The sequence below is a fragment of the Homo sapiens genome, chromosome 7 (assembly GCF_000001405.40).
Source record: "Homo sapiens chromosome 7, GRCh38.p14 Primary Assembly".
NCBI lineage: Eukaryota > Metazoa > Chordata > Mammalia > Primates > Hominidae > Homo > Homo sapiens.
In genome coordinates, this window is record NC_000007.14 from 18,744,002 (window position 1) to 18,763,439 (window position 19,438).

Here is a 19,438-nt window from a genome sequence, read left to right on the forward strand (position 1 = left end):
TTTACTACTAGTTTTTTTTTTTTTTTTTTTTTGAGATGGAGTTTCGCTCTTGTTACCCAGGCTGGAGTGCAACAGCACTCCCAGGTTCAAGCGATCCTCCTGCCTCAGCCTCCTGAGTAGCTGGGATTGCAGGCATATACCACCACACCTGGCTAATTTTTTGTATTTTTAGTAGAGACGGGGTTTCTCCATGTTGGTCAGGCTGGTCTTGAACTCCTGACCTCTAGTGATCTGCCCGCCTTGGCCTCCCAAAGTGCTGGGATTAGAGGCGTGAGCCACCGCGCCCGGCCTTTACTACTAGATTTTAAGTTAAATGTGGTAAAATGAAGCTGCTAGAATCTGGAACATAGTGAGCATTCAATAACTGTCTACTGATTCTGCATCTTCCAGGAGAATGCCATGTCATATATATTTGTGCTGTGCTAGTCCTTTGTCCAGTCCCTTGCCCTAGAAGGAGTTTAATAAGTGTTGTTTAGCAAACACCTTGGGAGGTGTGAAACCTCAGGTAGTTCCCAGAAATGCAATATGAAGTTGAATGTTAGGAACTACAAATCAGGATCAATAATTTTAGTCCAAATGTTCTAAACTCAGCTTTCTTTATAGACAAGATAAATTGTCTATAAAGACTCTATAGACTCAGACTAATAGGTCTTACTAGACTGAGTGTAAATTTGAAGACAGAAATAGATTATATGGCTAAAAAATGACAACTACATGCAATAAAGAAGGAAAGATACTACACTAGATGCTACAAATACATTATCTCATTTAATAAGACTGAGAGAAAGAGAAAGCACAAAGTCCAAGTTTATCTAAAAAATTTATCAAGAAATTTTAAGGATTTCTTGTATGTAAAAAAATATATATATAATACGTATTTTCTACATATATACGTATATATGTGGAAAACAAACAACTGTTGTTTAAAATGCAGGTAAATATTTTAAGGCTCCTTTGTGTATTTTTCAAATTCTAATTTTAACTCTTGTCCCACTGATCAGGAGAAAAATTAATTAATCTATTGGCTTATGTTATATTGCAAATGGTAATCAGTGAGCCAGAAAGGGTCAAACAAAAGTAGAATTCCATATGAATTGCAAAGAAAAGAGCAGGCTTATTTCTCACCCTATAAGTCCATGTTTCTGAGAAGCCAAAGAGAGAGAATGAAAGAGAGAGGGAAGGAATGAAGATGAAGGATGAGGTTAAAGTTTCATTTTCCAGTCTACCTGTTAACACCTCAGTGATACATCATTAGGATGAGTCAGTGGAAGTTTGGGGTTCCAGATTGTATATATTTCCCTTTAAATTCAAATGGCCTTCCAAGAGCCCCTGGACTTTGAATTATAATCTCTAGGTACCTGGCAAAAATTCCCAGCTACCATTACCTGTTTCACAATTATTTTTCTTGGCAGTGGATTATGGGGAAAATGTCATTAAAAGGGGGAAACATTACTACAGAGGTAAGCTTAGATATGTCAAGAGATGAAATAGTGAAAAAGTTAAGCAATGTAATGATTAGACTCTCTACTCTTTTTTTTTTTTTTTTTTTTTTTTTTGAGACGGAGTCTCGGTCTGTCGCCCAGGCCGGACTGCGGACTGCAGTGGCGCAATCTCAGCTCACTGCAAGCTCCGCCTCCCGGGTTCACACCATTCTCCTGCCTCAGCCTCCCGAGTAGCTGGGACTACAGGCGCCCGCCACCACGCCTGGCTAATTTTTTGTATTTTTAGTAGAGACGGGGTTTCACCTTGTTAGCCAGGTTGGTCTCGATCTGCTGACCTCATGATCCATCCGCCTCGGCCTCCCAAAGTGCTGGGATTACAGGCGTGAGCCACCGTGCCCGGCCCGACTCTCTACTCTTGAAGAATATATTTCTTCTTCTTCTTTTTTTTTTTTTTTTTTTTTTTGCCCATGCAAGTTCTCACCCTGTGGCCCAGGCTGGAGTGCAGTGGCTCAATCACTGCTCACTGCTGCATTGGCGTCCTGGGCTCAAGCAATTCTCCCACCAGCAGCAGGCACACCACCATTCCTGGCTAGTTTTTAAAAATTTTTGTGGAGACAGGGTCTCCCTATGTTGTTCAGGCTGGTTTCAAATTCCTGGGCTCAAGCAATCCTCCTGCCTCAGCCTCCCAAAGTGCTAGGCTTACAGGTGTAAGGCACCGTACCTGGCCAAAAATATATTTTCAAAATGAGGTGGATGTTATACTTTTTGTTTCCATGTTATTAAACTATCACTTTTTATTTTATGAAACTATAGTTGAAAAAAATGTTAAACAGTTCTTCTTATATAGTAGTAACTCATAAATACTTGATATATTTAAATTGTGAAGACACGTCTTACACATCTCTGTATTTTAAATGTTATTCTTCCTTCCTGCTTGCCTGCTTCCTTTTCTGCCTTCCTTAATGTCTTCCTTCTGACTTTATTTAAAAATATTTATCCTTATTGGACTTTATAGAAAATGTAAAAAGAGGACTTTGTGAAATTCCATGTAGAAATATAAAGCTAAGTAAAATAAATGCCTATATTAGAAGCACTTAGGGTAGGAAGATAAGGGACATAAAATAAAAGGTAGAAGATTAAACAAGTAAGACTACCCTTCAGGAATCCAAGGAGATCCACCAATTAATTCATTGAGGAAAGCTTTAGTGGAAATATCTGACCTATTTTTGGGATACATTCATTCATTTACAGTTTTCATTCACTCATTAAAACATATTTTTTGAGGACCGGCTTTATTTAAGCTTGTTTATGGCCACTGAAATTTCAAAGGTAAAAACACGACTATCATCTGCACTCTCAAAGATCTCACCATCTAATGAAGAAAATATACAATTAACAAAATTATACAACAATTATATAATTGTGACAAATGCTTGAAGGAGATCCAGAGGATGCTAAGAGAGTATATAGTAGGAGACCTAATTTAGAGATCTCAGGGTATGCTTGGTAGAGGAGGTGACATTAAAAACTGAGCCTTGAAGAGTGAAAAAAGATTAGCCAAATGAGGACTGGAGTTATGGAGGTCAAGAAGGAAGAATTTCCGGCATAGAGGGAATAGCATGTATAAATGTCACAAGGCTGCTAGGATTTTGATCTTTTTGAGGAAAGGAAGGAAGGCTTTTGTAGGCGAAATAGAGAACAAAAGAGGGAGATATATGAATTGAAGCTGGAAAGATGGGGAGGGGCCTATGTATGCTGGCCTGGAGGAATTTCAGTCTCTTTAGTGAAGGCCCTGAAGGATTTAAACAGAAGAGGCGACTGTTGTGTGGCAAATGGAATAGAGTGAAAGTCAGGTTCTGCATTACAAGGCAATCTCAGAAGTCCAGATTAGAGATAATAACACCTTGGATTGTGTATGGTTTTGGCAGTGGAGATAAGGAGAATGAATAATTCAAGATCTGTTTTGGAGGGAAAACAGACACTGCTTTGGTTCTTTGGAGGGGGAGCGTCAAGGGGACATTAAGGTTTCTCGTATGAACAATGGCAGATCTTGATGTCTTTTGTAAACATGGGTAATATCGTGTGTGGTTTAAGATCATGAATTAAAAATCAGAGACATTTTCACTTTATGAAAACCATGAGACAACTAAGTGGAGATTTTGGATGGATCATTCAATGGGGAAGTGTGTAAGTAAGCTGCTCATAAGGGAGGTCAGTCCTGAGGATGAAAATGTGAGAATCAGGGGAAGAAGGATAGAGTTTGAAGCCATTTGAGTCCTAAGAATAGATATTATTTGGAATGGTAAAATTATATTCTTTTGTTAGACATAATTTCTACCACATGGTTTCAAAATGCAGGTGCCATTCTTCTGCATTATTTGAGCACACTCAAGGAAAAATATTTTCTTCTCTTGAGTAACATTTCTTTAACACAATAATGTAAGCCAAAAGGAGAATAAAATGTACTTTATTAAACTTCTTTTACAGCATAAATTACTGGTGCTTATCTATTCCTGAAGATTTTTTTTGGTTGTTGTTGTAAAACTTCTTATAATGGGTGTTCTCCCCATCTACAAATATACTTCGATGGTCATTTATTGGAAGACATTTGATTTGTTAAATAATTTCTTATGTCAGGCAATTTTGCAAGTAACATGTTTCCACCTCAAGGAATAGGTTTATGGGTAGAAATCTTCTTTAAATGAGCCAGAGTTATAATTATCATCTAACTTGTTGCTTTAAAAAGTCCTATTTTAAGTTCTGCTAATAATTCATCTTATCATGTTATTATACAGTCTTTCCCATCATAAGGCTTACTTGAAAATGAAATATGCTAATACTTGATAATTTAAAAGAAGATTGTATTCATTAGTATCTGTATAATCTCTAGTAGTGGCATTGTAATTTACATTTATTTTTTAAAAGAAACACTTTAAATGCCCCACGATATTATAAGATCTACAACATCCATATTGGTTACATAATGACATAAATTATGGGGAGAAACACAAATAAACAAAGAAACTGTTTTTGAACAACCTTGAAGAAATTACTAAACAGGATAGGCAGAGTGGGAAAATCTTCCGTTTTATTACAAAAATGAAACCTTGATCTGAAGTCAGGCTAGAATGACTCATGGAAGATTTAAAGAGACAGCTTGTTTAGTGGCTCCAATGGTGTGGTGAAATTAAAACCTCTACTGAATTAAATTATCTGCCTAAAAACAATTCATAATGATTTAAAATACTGGTAAGATTACAATATGTATATTTTAAAATCTGAAGTGTCTTAAAATGTCATCATCTTCATCACTTTACAGATTTACTAAACTAGGGTCTGAGTACTGGTTAATGCGTAAGTTCGTGTTTTTGAGTAAATATCCAGATAGACAGGTCTCAATAGTTCTTATGTGCTCCTGAGAATTTGCTTTGTGATATTTCCTCCTTTGTTAAATTTATTTTAAGAATAATGACTTTTTTGGAGTTATCATATTATCTCCTAACATGTGTCATTATCTTGTACTGTTACTCAATCTTGTCCTGTATTTCCCTTGTCTTAAAGGAATTGCCTATGACCCCTTGATGCTGAAACACCAGTGCGTTTGTGGCAATTCCACCACCCACCCTGAGCATGCTGGACGAATACAGAGTATCTGGTCACGACTGCAAGAAACTGGGCTGCTAAATAAATGTGAGGTAATCCAGAATTGGACACACTCTTTTACTTACTTAAATAAATCATGTAAAGAGGCCAGTATTCATTTGGGGAGTAATAGAAAAATATTAACCATATAGTGCAAACACCATGATTGATGAACCATCATAGATTCAGGTAGCACAGAGCTTACCACCTGACTCTGGGCGGGGCACACTGTAAGTACTTGGTCAGTGTTGATGAGCTGAGCAGCTGCCTGATGTGTGTGTTCCAATGCTGCAGTATTATTACATATACATGGTAGCACTGTTTGTAAACAGACATTATTTATTGAGTTGATCTTCTGAGAAACTCTTTGCTAAGTAATTATTATTTTTGGTTATAAACTAAACTTTGGATTTAGATATATGCCAATTTTGCCACATGGAAATGAATCAATTTAAAATATCAACTGTCCTCTTACCACTAAAAGTCATTTCTTTTTATTGAAATGATTGATGTGTTTATAACTTGATGAAGGGATTTGAATACTTTGATTTTATCATTATTTCTTTAAACTCATTTCAGTAGGCGCTTGGTGAATACCATTTTTATTTGGAAAAATATACCTTTTTATGCTTTCAAAGGTTAAAAACAACAGTCATATCAATTCAGAAAGGCTCCCATCATCAAATGTGCAAAATATGTAACAACCAGCTGCTATTCGATTTAGTTGCTATAAATGTCCATTGTTGTCTGAAATCCAGTAACATTCTGCATTTGAATCTAAGGCATTTTTAAAAGAAAAATGCCCTTCATGGGTTTTCTCACATTATTTTAACATTTACTAATTATTTCTTTTACTGGGTCTCTGTTAGGTTCTAAACATGATTCAAGTACTGGAATTATAAAATTTCACAAGACAAATATGGTCCCAAAATGTAGTCAACAAAATTCCTATTCAAATTCAACTTAGGTTTAAACTGAGTCTGTAAAATATTTTACTTGAAATAGAAATGCCAAAGCAGACAGAATTTTTCAGCAGGTCAAGTGCACTTGCCTACGTATGATAGTGTGAGTTACATCAATCTGATCCCCTTCCTCTGCAAACTACTAAAAATAATTGACTTTTGAAGATGCAAAGCCATTCATTCAGTTTGTTCATTTCTATGGATAAAAAAATTTTCTTTATGGATTTGTTTCTTTAAAGGGTGGATAATATATTCTATGTTACAAGGGAAATTAATTGGTTTTTAAAAACATCAAAACATTGGTAGTGTCTTATGGATCGCTCAGTAGTTGAGATTGTGAATGAATATACCACAACACCATGTACAGATTTAGTCTCACAAGTTTTATTATATATTTATGGTAGAATTATCAAACAGTTTTCATATTTAAAGCTCTGCTTTTGATTAAATGTATCCTTTACCTAGAAACCCCAAAGTGAAGGAAAATGAACTAGATTTATTTATCTGGTCCTTTCCTCAGTGCAAGTCTATTACTCATTTTTTTTTGCCAGTGGCATTCATATTGTATGGCAGAAGGCTTTCATACTCTGGTCAATTTTAGAGTTATCTTTAAGGATTTCATGTTTCTGATACTGCAGTTTGGAGGCCAAACCATTCTCTTTTCTATGCAATCCCATATGGAGTCCATAAAGTAGACCAGCAAGGAGAATTATTTGTGGTAGGCTGGTCTTAATGGACAAAATGCATTTATTCATGTGAACATTCCTGTCTCACCTTTTCATCTGCTCTGCAATTTTTGTGTGCTTTTGCCAGCTGAGGCATTGCTGCTTACATTTTTTCACATTCACGTTTGTGTTATATCCTGCGGCAGCTGGCCTGGTCCTAACTACTTCAAATTGTCAGTGGCTGATCATAGCCTTCGAATGCCTTGTTAGATAGTGGTATTCCTAAATCCTATTACCTGAAGGAGAACTGTTTATGAAAGGAACAGAGTACAGAAATAAATGGAATTTGATATGATTCACACTGGTCTAAAAATTAGAAAGTCTATTATCATCCTTTTCTGGTTAGTCTTCTTTTTCAATTGCTTATATACATTACATTATTTTCATTCTTTATTATTTGAAACCATACAATTCAGTTTGTATAGCACTAACCGACGTAATATCAAACACAAGTTGAGATGTCAGAAACACTATCATACAACTATGGGTTTGAGGAGAATAGAGTCTCCTTGGTATCACTTAATCACAAAATTAACAAATAATACACTCACAAGCCCAGGTCAGCAGATTTGCTCTTAATTAAGATTAAGCACAAACATCATATCCAAAACATGGCAACAATGCAAATAGAAGCCACTTTTCCTAACATAGTTTGATGGCAGTTCACCAGGTGTTTGCTTTCTTAAGTGAAGATTATGTTGCCGATATTATTTATCATTATATATGATAATGCTCCTACATTATCAAAACACCCATATTAGCGAAGAAAGTATTGCCCATATAAATTTATTTACTTTATGAAATTATGAGATGCTAACCTAAACCAAACATGAAATGGAACTTCTAAAACTGCTAAAAATTAATTCACTTTTAAGATACCTAGGACTTTAATGGCAGATGGACATCTGCCCATGTGTGAATGATATTAGAAAAATTCAAAATTAAATTTTAGAAAGTATTAACTAAACAAATGTTACCCTTGTGTAGAGACCTTTTGTTCAATATGAGATAAAACAGAACTAAAAGGGAAACACTATTTTCATAACTTATTTTCTCTTCCTGATTGGTTTTACCAGAAGAGTAAGGGAGTAAATAAAAAGGGAACACACAGAGATTATTCCAAACCAGGTTAGCCCCCTCAGAAATAGTAGAATACTACCTAGTGCTCTCCCAAGTCCATTTTTTTTTTACTAAACACAATGGAAGCAACTGATATATGTTCCTTGTAGATTTCTTCTAATATTTTTGATTTGACAAATTAAGTATATATGCAAATATTTTACTATGTTATTAAGCCATCTTACAAAGATGCTAAACTTTCTATTTCATGCCAAATTATTTTCGAATGCCGTGAAAAATACAACACAAATTTATCAACAAATACTTTAGCAATTTGCCACATGTCTTAAGAATCAGAGTTGTTGAAGAATCAGGAGAAAAGCACACCATGGAGGCAAGTGATCTGTGTGCCTGGTGGGTATTTAGGCTAGTTGAAAGCGCAAGAAGGGTCCTACCCAAAAGCCTACTGGTTAGTGTTTCTGAGCCTTCTAAAGGAATCAAAGATAATGACAGTATCTGCCCACTGAAGTTCACTTATTCACTCGACAGAGGAAGTTGGGTCCCAGCTCAGGTGTGAGTAACTTATTTACCAAGATACCCCAAGGACCCAAATAAAGAGAATCAAGGCTCAAGGGCATTACTTCTAAATAGGCTAGAAGGGGCTATCAGAAGTTAAACTTTTGTTCCTTTGCCTAGTTGTGTCTAAAACACGCTAACATGAGGAGGTATAATCTCTGCTAACTGGGACTCCAAGGATTTGAGTACCAGGCGGGATGTCTTAGGTTATCATTCTCTCCTAAGCAGTATGAACAATTTCCTCTCTTTGTTGTGGGAAATAAGAACTCAGTTGTTTCAAAAGAGAGGATTTATTAGATTCCACAGGAAAGGGTATAATCAAATAGGAATATAATGCATACAAGCCAGGTCAGTGCATTGTTTTTCAGTATCCACATAGTCGTCTGCCGTCTTTGGGAACTATTCTCCCACCACGTCTGTGTAGCCACTTCTGGTAAGAAGGGTATCTTGAATGTTGACATATTTCAGAATCATCTGAGGGGATGGTAAAACACAGATTGCTCAGATCTAAACTCAGAACTTCTAATTCAGTAAGTCTGGAGTGGGGTCAGAGAATCTCGTTGCTAACATGTGTCTGGGTGATTCTGGTACTTTTGGCCTGGACACCACACGTTGAAAACAGTGATGTATCCATTCGATGATGTTTATCAAGAATTTGAGTTTTCCAGGCATCTTTGTTAGGAGTAGAAGATACAATACCGAGTACAAAATATACATCCCCTGTCTTCAAGAAGGTTACTATATGGTGTGATCAGCAGGCATTAATTAGACAATCATACAAATAAATACACAATTACAAATTTCAAAGGGGTTTTGAGTCATTCATTTTATATTGCTGTGATTTTGAAGACTCTTATTGATTGTGCTTGAGCAAGAAAAAAATGAGGAAGATTGTGGTCAGCTGCCTCTATAGTCTTGACAGCATCAGTGGGGCCCTGTGACCAAGAGACAGAGGAGGTAATGTTACATGTGAGAGTGTGAAAAGGAAAATATCCTAGATCTTGTGATGAATAACTTGCCCTCTTTGTGTTTTCATTTGTGTTCTTTGTTTATTGGGGTTACTATTTGACCAGGACAAAAAATAAGGAATCTCAATTCTGCTGACATACAGAGAAGGGTCAGCTTTCCTCAACCAACAGAGCAGTCAATTTTACAATTAATGAAATAAAAAAATACATAATAGAAGAGATAGCACTTTGAAAATGCTAAAAGGATTCCTTCATTTCCAAACAGTAGACTGATCCACAACTCAAACTTTTGGTTTATGTCAATTCATTTAGCAATGTCGCAAATTAATCAAAATGTATTCTCTCAAAGATGATCATTCAATATTAGATTCGACCTTAGTTTTGCCATTAATTATCTGTGTGCTTTTGTCAGACCATTTAACTTTGCTGATCTTTGGTTTTCCTATGTTTAGATGAGGGTGTTAGGCAAGATATTTGCTAGGATCTCTTACAGCTGTAATACTGTCTGACACTAGAAGTGTTAAGCAGTTCTTTTGGAACATAACACTCTCTTTGGTTAAGAGTAGACTAAATTTTTAGAATGTTTCAGTAAACATATTGCTCTTAGTTTGTAAGCTATAGTGTAAATTGGCTCTGCTTACTAATCCTGATTAGTAGCCAGAGAAAACATTAGTCCTCATTATATTAGATTACAGTGGTTACATGGGTTAACTTTTTTTTGGCCTGACGTGGCACTGTTTTTAATAAGTTGAGGCAGTTAGTAGTCCTTCATGCCAATACCACTTAATTTTTTCCCCTACTGAATCATTCATACTTAGTTTAGTGATTCTGTTGGGAGCAAAGAGCAAAACCAGCAGCTTTCTTATCACCATGAGAAATGGATCTGGAGGGGTTATTTGGTGTCCTCTTCAGAAACAAGCTATTTGATTAAGTAGCTGGGTTTCCAAGATGTGCATGCTCCTGAAGAAAAGAAATGTGCTCTTCTGTGGTCAAAAAAAATTGTGGAGGTTGACCCATCATCTGTTAGAAATGCACTTGCAGTTGTTTTTTCCAGAAATGCTCATGACTCCCAGCCCCACCAAGCCACCCACAGACATTTGCTTGCTCTCACATTTGTTTTGAGAATAATAACATTTTATAATGCTTTTGTTGGATTACACATTATGTGGAATTTGCGTTGCCTTTTTGTGACTAATATTGAATAACTTTGCTTCGCTTAATTCATAAGTAAGAACCATAAGCAACATACAGTGCTGAAATGTTTAACTCGTTTATTCAAGTGCCAACACAAAGTAATTACAAAACAATTCTGGGACGCAAAACCAAGCTACTGTTGTCCCTTCAGGGTCTTCTCGGCAGTTCCAATGAGAAAAGTGGAGAGCAAGTTTAGTGCAGAATCTTATGATGCCAAGAAGCAGGGATTCCAGCATATCTTCTTGCACACATAGGTGACTGTAAAATACCTCTTTGTTTTAAATCAAATCTAAGTAAGGAAATACATTCATCTGTGGTGAAACACTTTGGAATGTGCAGGTTTTCTGATATCAAGACTGCAAAGCGCTGAAAACTGCAAGTTAATGGAAATTCAATTAGACATTTGTTTTATAGAGTAGTCTAACTAGATGGCAGCACGTAACAGTGTACTGTTTTGCTTAGTTTGCAAAAAAAAATTTTATGTGTTTGTGCCTTAGAATCTAACCACAAAACAGAGAGAAACTCAAACAGGGAACCCTGTGAATTGTCTCTAAAGGATATGGCAGTCTTGGAAAGAAGTACAAGTGATCTAGATTTGATGAGTAAACCAGGCTACATTGTCATTGTTCTAAAAGATATTTGTATATCACAGAGTGGACCCAGGCAGATAAATATACCAAAACTAATTGTACACCTTATAGTCAAATGATTTAGGATTTCTTTTAACAATGTCTGCTAAACAGAAAGAATTAATGTGGAAAACAACCAACAAAAGGAAATAAGAGAGGCTGTTCTTCTGAGTCCATTTGGAAAGTAATACAGAGCTTTTGAAACAGCAGCGTTGAAGCTTATTAATAAAAAGAGTTATATAATTTTCACCCATTTGAAAATTGCAGTTTTTGAGTAACAAAAAATATTTGTTGAAAGTTTGTTTCATACATGATGACCAGTTTAAAAAAGCAAAGCTTTAAATTCAACCATTAAAATATTTATTTACAATTTTTAGAAAGAATAATTGCAATGTAGGGGGTTCAGTTGCATAAAGGATTGTGAAAATTGAGCAGTTAGACTAAGGGATAACATTTTTTTCTTGCTTTCTGGTGAGGACAGTGATTTGAAATAGGTGGAAGTAAAACTTAAAAAAATAGAGAGTATATATGCTCGTCACCATTTCAGAGCTTTATTATTGAACTGGGATTTGCTGTTTTCTGAAGTGCTTTAGAAATGGCTCTATGTCCTAAAATACTTTAAAATAAGTCGTAGTGACTGAATCAAGCAGTATTAAGACACATGAAAGGCACTTAACATTTTGAAGATTGATAATATTTTTACTCATCAACCTTCCGTCCACCAATATTTTAACCATTCCGTAGTCCCAAGTGTTGGTCAGTACAGTGTCAGTATCTTGCACTCAGTTATGAGCAGTAAGTATGGACAGCTCCCTCTAACACGTGGTTCTTGACCTAAGCTACCCATTAGAATCCTCTGGGTGGTTGGAAACATCTGGGTGCCCAAATTGCACCCAGACAAAGGTAATAAGGTAGGACCCAGGCATCAGTAACTTTTAAACTTCCCCAGCTGATTCCAAGGTGCAGCCAATGTTAAGAACTACTGAAACAGAAACACAACTTCTTAACATAATCTTAACGAGATAGAGACAAATAGGCAAGTGAATCAAATATTTGGAGATGGGAAAGTAACAGAAGTAAGCATTAACCTGAGAAACAAAGATGACACTAACTCACAAGTGTCGTACATAATTTTCAAAAATTATTAAAAGCGTTTATTATTTTGAAGTTGTCACAGGATAGGAATATGAGCTGTGAAAAATTCTCTTATTTTTCAATTATGATTAAGCTTATAAGAAACAAGCATCATGGAATAGCTGGACTCCTTTTGAAAATCCTTATTCAGGTTTCCTGTTTGGCCTCAACCTCAGTAATTTATCATTGCAATTATTTTATTTGCTTGCCTAAGGCAAATGCATAAATCAAAGCGAAGCGTGTTTTATTGCATTTCTATTGCGTGTAAGGTTATTTCACATAGAATCCTATCATCTTAAGGCTAAAAATGAGCTTTGACATAATTTAGTCAAACATCTTTATGTTCATAGATGAAGAAACAAAGGCCCATAGAGATATCTCATGGCTGACTATAGGCACATTAAGGACACGTGGGAGTCAGGACCAGAAGTCAAGGCTCCCAACTTGCAATTCTCTTTTTTTCCATGTGACCCACAGAAAGGACCAAAAGCCTGTTAGGCCACCTGCCTGCTTGATTGCCTCCTTCCTTCTTTCACTCCCCAACCTTTTTTTTTTTTTATGAGAAAAACTCTGAGAAGTACAGGTTATTACACGAGGAGGGTTGTGTGGAAGATTGTGCAGTTGCAGGGGCAGTTAAAAACCATTTCTTACGTAACATTTTAAGAAGCAGTTGGTTGGAGCATTTTAAAACTCCAGTAGTTGTGCTTAGGCATAAGCAATGAGATCATATTTTTATGTTTTTTTTTAAGAAAGACAGATAGATAAAAAAATCAATAAGACCATGAATTGACTCATTAAATATTAAGTATGGTATTTGTGGCAGAGTGTAACTTTGACACTAAGAAGTCATTTATGATTCTTTATTTTCTTCATTTTTTTAACCTTTGAATTTCTTCAGCCCTGGATTTTTGGAGAAAATAAATGAAACCACATCCCTTTATTTAGAGACAATGGATGAAATATTTTCAGAAAATGGGATATTTCAGTGGAAATTCTTGCCTGGTATGTCACCACTTTGAAAATGATTAAAGAAAATGGAGTTTTCCCCAGTGGAGGCAGGTACTCTGACTTGTCAAATTTAAGTTGGACATTTTCTCTTAGTTTGGAACTGCCACAAAATGAGCCCTTTCATGTCCACAATAATACCAAACCAATGCAACCCATCTGTTCTGCTAAATTATTTCTAGTTCCCTAACCAAAGGCACTGCTTTTTCATGCATTTTATCATGATTTTTTGCCCTTTATTATATTTTACAAAAGGTTCTGATTCCTCCAGGGCCAATGAGAACTGATTAGGACACTGGCCTCAATCCAGGCTTTGAACACAGGAGGGAAAGGAATAGAACTGTTTCCTTTTTTCCCTGCTCCTTGGCAGAAAAAAATATGAATCTATATCGTGTGTGTGCTCTGTGTGTGGGTGGGTGTGGGTAGGCTGCATTTTATCCTGTCACAGTATGACTTTGTAGATCATGTTCAGAACATTTCTTCTATAATCGGGATGCATTAACGGGCTCTCTTTCAGAAAGACTATTTCTTTAAGAAAGAACCATGGTGTGTTGTGAGACTCAATGATATGGTCATTTTAAATAACTTTAGTCAAACTCCCAACCTGAATATAGACTGTTTAGGGTTCTGAACTAAACATGATCATATTCCTAACCACAGAGTAAGTGCTCAGTGAGCATAGCTCCTTTTCAGACTCTCAGGGAAGAAACTAAGTGCACGTCACAGGGAACGATAAGGTAACAATGAACACAGTCCTACATCACAAATTTCTTTATTAAGAAGGTGACAAAAGCTATGAGGTTTCATTCCTAGGCCTGTGTTGGTAAGGCATTTAAGACCCGTATTGACTCCAGGTGAGAAATCCCCAGATGAAATCCATTCCTTATTTGCATTGTGTGCCCCAATATGCTCAGAATTCTTAAAAATCTTTTTGGGCAGGCTATCATAGATAACTTTACGTAGATATCCTTCGGACCAAGTATCTCTGAGAATAGAAATCAGTACTCCCTAAATTAAGATTATCAGAAAACTTTAGCCTATTTTTTGACTCTTTATGCTATTGACCTTTAACTCAAGAGAGCCTTGAGAGAGAGAAATGAAAGAATAAAGGGTGCGCAGAAAGTTGAAAATATGAGAAGTGATTACGTGGGAATATCTATATTTAAGCCTACACAAATAAAATACTAAATTACTGATGGCAATACCAGAAAATGGGAACTGGTGAAGATCTCAATATGAAAGGAAAAGTTGAATGTGACAAATTTAAGGCATTTATACAAGTGAGGCAAAACGGAATTACTCCAGGAGATCCTATGTGTTAAGGAATAAAGAAAGCTGTTGCTCTTTCAGAATTTTCAGCTTAATCATCCACCAAATTCTCCTAGCAGTGTCTCTGTGAGATACAAATTTCAAAACATGCTTTTTCCAGATCCTGTCTACAGGTAGAAACATTTTTTTTTTTTTTTGGTACTGAATTAGTTTTCACTGCTCTCTTTCTGTAGAAACATGTGCACTATGTTTGTGGGCTGTTCTCTAGCAACCAAAGAAGCAGAAGGTGATTGCCAAGAATAAGTACTTCCTTATATTTAGTGAAATTATTTTTTAAAAATACTTTTAATAATAATAATAAGAGCCAGTGTAAAATAGTTGCTTAGAGTCAAAAGAAAGAATAAGGAGAAGGAGAAAAAGATAAATCAAAGTGAAAACTTAGGAATAGTGGTACATTTTAATGGCAAGGATGGGGCCTAGAGTATAACTAGCGGAGAAAACTGTTAGATTAAGTCAATGCTAGATAGCTGGGCCAAATGAGCTGTCTTTACTGTTAGTTGACTGATCTTACACAAGGGGATGACCGATTCAGCAGGTTTCTTCTTATCAGGGGTCCCCAAACCCTGGGCCACGGACCACTACTGGTCCATGGCCTGTAAGGAACCAGGCTGCACAGCAGGAGGTGAGTGGCAGGTGAGTGAGTGAAGCTTCATCTGTATTTTCAGCTGCTCCCTGTTGCTTGCATTACCGTCTGAGAACAGCAGCGACATTAGATTCCCAGAGGAGCGCTAACCCTATTGTGAACTGCGCATGTGAGGGATCTAGGTTGAGCGCTCCTTATGAGGATCAAATGTCTGACGATCTGTCACTGTCTCCTATCACCCCCAGAGGGGACCATCTAGTTGCAGGAAAGCAAGCTTAGGGCTCCCACTGATTCTACATTATGGTGAGTTGTATAATTATTTCATTACATATTAAAATGTAATAATAATAGAAATAAAGTGCACAGTAAATGTAATGTGCTTGAATCATCCTGAAGCCATCTCCTCCACTTTTTTTGTCTTCCACGAAACTGGTCTCTGGTGCCAAAAAGATTGGAAACCGCTGTTCTTATGACTTACTAGCACTTCAGCTACTGTCAATTACAGTGAATCTCGTTAGCAGATGAGTGTTTAAATGTGTGATTGAGCATTCAGCTAGAATCAGTGGGATTGTGGGTGAATAAGCAAAGGTGTTGGACAAGCATAGAGTGCATGGTATGCAAATTTACATGACTAGTGTATGAACACATCAAGATATACTTAATGGTATTTAATGTTATACCGGAAGTAAAAATTTAATTTATAGATGAAACGAATCTTTATAGACATGAAGAAAGGAGGAAAAAATCAATGAAAGTTTATGATAGTCATCAAAACATGGGTCTGATCATTAGCTGCAGAGCTGACATTGTTGAAAATACTGATGTTTCACTGTATCAGCATATACGATGTTAGTGGCTATGGATTTCAAAGACCCATAGAAGGAGGAGCTCGAAGCCCTCTTATTTCATAGTGTTCATTATTCTGCCAGAATTGGTTGCCACATTCTGTTTTCCAATGCCCTGCTCAGTCCAATTTTAGATGACTCAAACCATGGACTTACCATTATTTATCTTGAGGGATTCTCCACCCCCTGAAATCTCACAGTTAAAACGTTTCCCTTTAATGTTGCCTTCGAATTTTCTCATGCTTATTTAGTCTCTTTACATGCCATCCTACTCTTTGGTTGTTCTGGTCTCCCATAAACTTTCCGATATTGAATGTTTCCCAGCAAGCTACTTGGTTCAAGATGTTTTCTAATCAATCAGAAAGATGGCTGACCAGAAGGCCATCATTAAATTTTTCTTAGTCTTCAGCATCAGAATTCTGATCTTACCCACCTGGAATAATTTCTCTAAATCATACTTTTATTTTTATAGTAATTTGAATTGGGTTAGACAATGCTGAATGATAGCATCAAAAACAGAGAACTTCAATGATATACAAAGAAAGTTCCATAAGTATTCATGAGTTTGTTCAGCACGTCAAGGCAGTGTTAATGAGATTTTGCTTTAATCACTCCCTTCCTGTTACCCCTGCAGACCCCCACCAATCCTCCCTCACTGTGACCTGATCATTTATTTTCAGTGACAAGCACAGCTCGGCCTCCGGCCCAGTAAATGCTGAGAAATTGTCAGATATTGAAGTTGTCCTGGCCTGCCCCTTCAGTGAACCACACATTAACATTGAAGAGTCTGGCAGCAGCTGCATCACCTTAAACTAGGGAGGCTGAATGTGGAATTGTCCTCGTCCTGAGAGAGGTGTTGTCACCTGATGTTTCCGGGTTACCTGGTGGTTCCTTGGTCAGGAACATGAAAGGACAGCATTCCCTGAACAGATTCTCCTTGAATTTCACTGTTGTTCTGTACTTCAATATTAACTTACAGCTGCCTTGTGGTTATATATATTTTTAAGTGAAATATTAACACTGTCTCTGTAATACTAGAAAGCACAGCCATTTCCAAAAGTTAAGGCTAATTAACTTCGTGCACCAGCACAATATTTATCAGGCTCACAGATGTGCCAGCTGAGGAATGTAGCCAGAAAGAACACTTTGCATACTGGATAATTGAGGTTTGACCTAATGAACAGTTTTGCCTGTGTTGAAGGGCTGTAATTTGTTAGCTGGAGTGAAAGTCTCTGCCTAGCCTTTTTGGAAAAAATTGATGGAGTCTAGAGTGTCTCAAACAGTGTCTGATTAAACAGCAGGTTTTGTTTTTGTTTAATTTCCAATCTGTCAGAGACTAATACGCATAAAAAATGTTAAAAATGAAATACGGCAAAAGTGAAATAAATATTGAAGAGAGGTAAGATTATAGTAGATTCAAAAGACATAAAAATACTGTCAAATTGCCATAAAAGTTTCTAAATATTGATCTGAATTTCTGTACTGACCTCACTACAGACCATTAATAAACAGATATTGACGTGTTATTGATCCCATGGGACACAGTTTGAGGAACATTGGTTTTAACTAATACTACTGTGAGGTGCACACATGGGAAGTCATTAGCGTATCTGTGATCATCAAGTTCATTAAAATGAAATGGTATTTATTTATGTCCTTCAAGAAGGAATAAAGAGTGTGTTCTAACAACTTCTTTGGGTAAGTGTAAAATAAGATTGTAATAAATTTAATTATCAGCTAAATAGTAGCCCTGTTGGTTTTTAAGCTGATACTTTACAAAAGAGTTAACTATTAATTTCTGTGTTATAGCTTTCTCTTCCATGCCAAATAAGAATATACTTTATGTCAGTTGCCCATTTAGGTATAAGCAATCTGTTGGATCTGAACCTTCCATACACTCATTTTTCAAATATTATTATGGTACTTTACTAAGCAAATCAGTGTCACATTCCTACATGATGAAATTCAGCCCATTATTAATCATCTTAAATGTGACTTGGGGTCTCATTTTCTTCTAAATGTTGTCAGTGGTGTACTGTTGGCTTCTGCTATTTTCTTGCAGCGAATTCAAGGTCGAAAAGCCAGCCTGGAGGAAATACAGCTTGTTCATTCTGAACATCACTCACTGTTGTATGGCACCAACCCCCTGGACGGACAGAAGCTGGACCCCAGGATACTCCTAGGTCTGTACGGGCCTCCACTGTACTGGGAACAGCACATTCCAGCACTATCATTAGTCAACGCTGGTGTCAGTTCAAAATACTTGGCAAGTAGTGCAACAAAAAATCAGTTTTTCCAACAGCTTTGCTCTGTGGAGTGAGTCATTTGCAACAGAAGCCATTGTAGATTAAGAAAATCCTGCATTAGAAAATGACAATGTAGGTTCCATGGTGTTTACTTTAGAATTAACCTTCATTTGAATAACATTTGTACAATGTGTTTTTGCATATAGAAAAAACTACATTGCTGAATTTATTGTGTTTTCAAACTTAAAGTAGAAATGATTTACACATGCTTTATGCAAATTTCTCTTCACCGTTCCCATTTTTTTGTATCTTTTAGTTCTTTGTTCTATGACCTTAAGAAACAAAGGAAATAGTACAACTTGTATTAAGTGAAAACTCATTATTACTATGCCCATCACACTACATTCTATAGCAAGATTGCAAATCTATTTATTGCCTTACCTTTGGAATTAAATAATACATTAAATGCAAAACTAGAAAACTAATAAACAGTTTTTTGTTAATGTATGATTTTTTGAAACTTTATCGTCAGATTTTAAAATAAAATTTATATTGCAGAACTTTATATAAGCTTTATATGAGTGATAGAAACAACAGGTTTCTGGAAGAAAAATTAGTGACAATCCTTATTTTAGCTGAAATGATAATATTGTTTTATTAACTTTTTATAAGTGAATAACAATATCTAACATTGGCAATAGATGCTGATGGGGTCATGTTTTAAATGTTTTAACTAAAAAAGACATTTTAGGAGTTTTTCCTTCAAATAAATGTATTGTGTCAGCTCTAAGTTATTGAACTCTTTCACCTAATTCAATATTATTTCAAAATTGTTTTATATTAACTGGTCCTAAACAATTTGAAAGCAAGTAGATAACATACAGTAGGTAGGTATCTTGGAAAGCAATTGTAAGGAAGAATTAACAGTTACTCATTATAACACAATATACCTTTTTAAACAAGTGGCAAGCATCTCTTAAATTTATGAAGTGCAGGCATATGAGTGAGCATAAATATGCCCACACATGCGTGTAGCAGTATAGGTAGCAGTAGCTTGGGGAGAAGTAAGACCAGAGGGGAATACATAAAGATTATCCAA

General features: G+C 36.1%; 1 protein-coding gene across 6 annotated transcripts in view; it reads left to right on the plus strand.

The window, feature by feature from the left end:
• HDAC9 (histone deacetylase 9) overlaps positions 1-19,438 on the plus strand; it is a 915,592-nt gene that overhangs the window by 657,177 nt on the left and 238,977 nt on the right. For all 6 annotated transcript variants that reach the window (NM_001321868.2, NM_178425.4, NM_001321877.2 and 3 more), the window contains 2 exons: positions 5,004-5,137; positions 18,156-18,276. In NM_001321868.2, the coding sequence (NP_001308797.1) occupies positions 5,004-5,137; positions 18,156-18,276 (255 nt within the window). The remainder of the gene's footprint in view (positions 1-5,003; positions 5,138-18,155; positions 18,277-19,438) is intronic.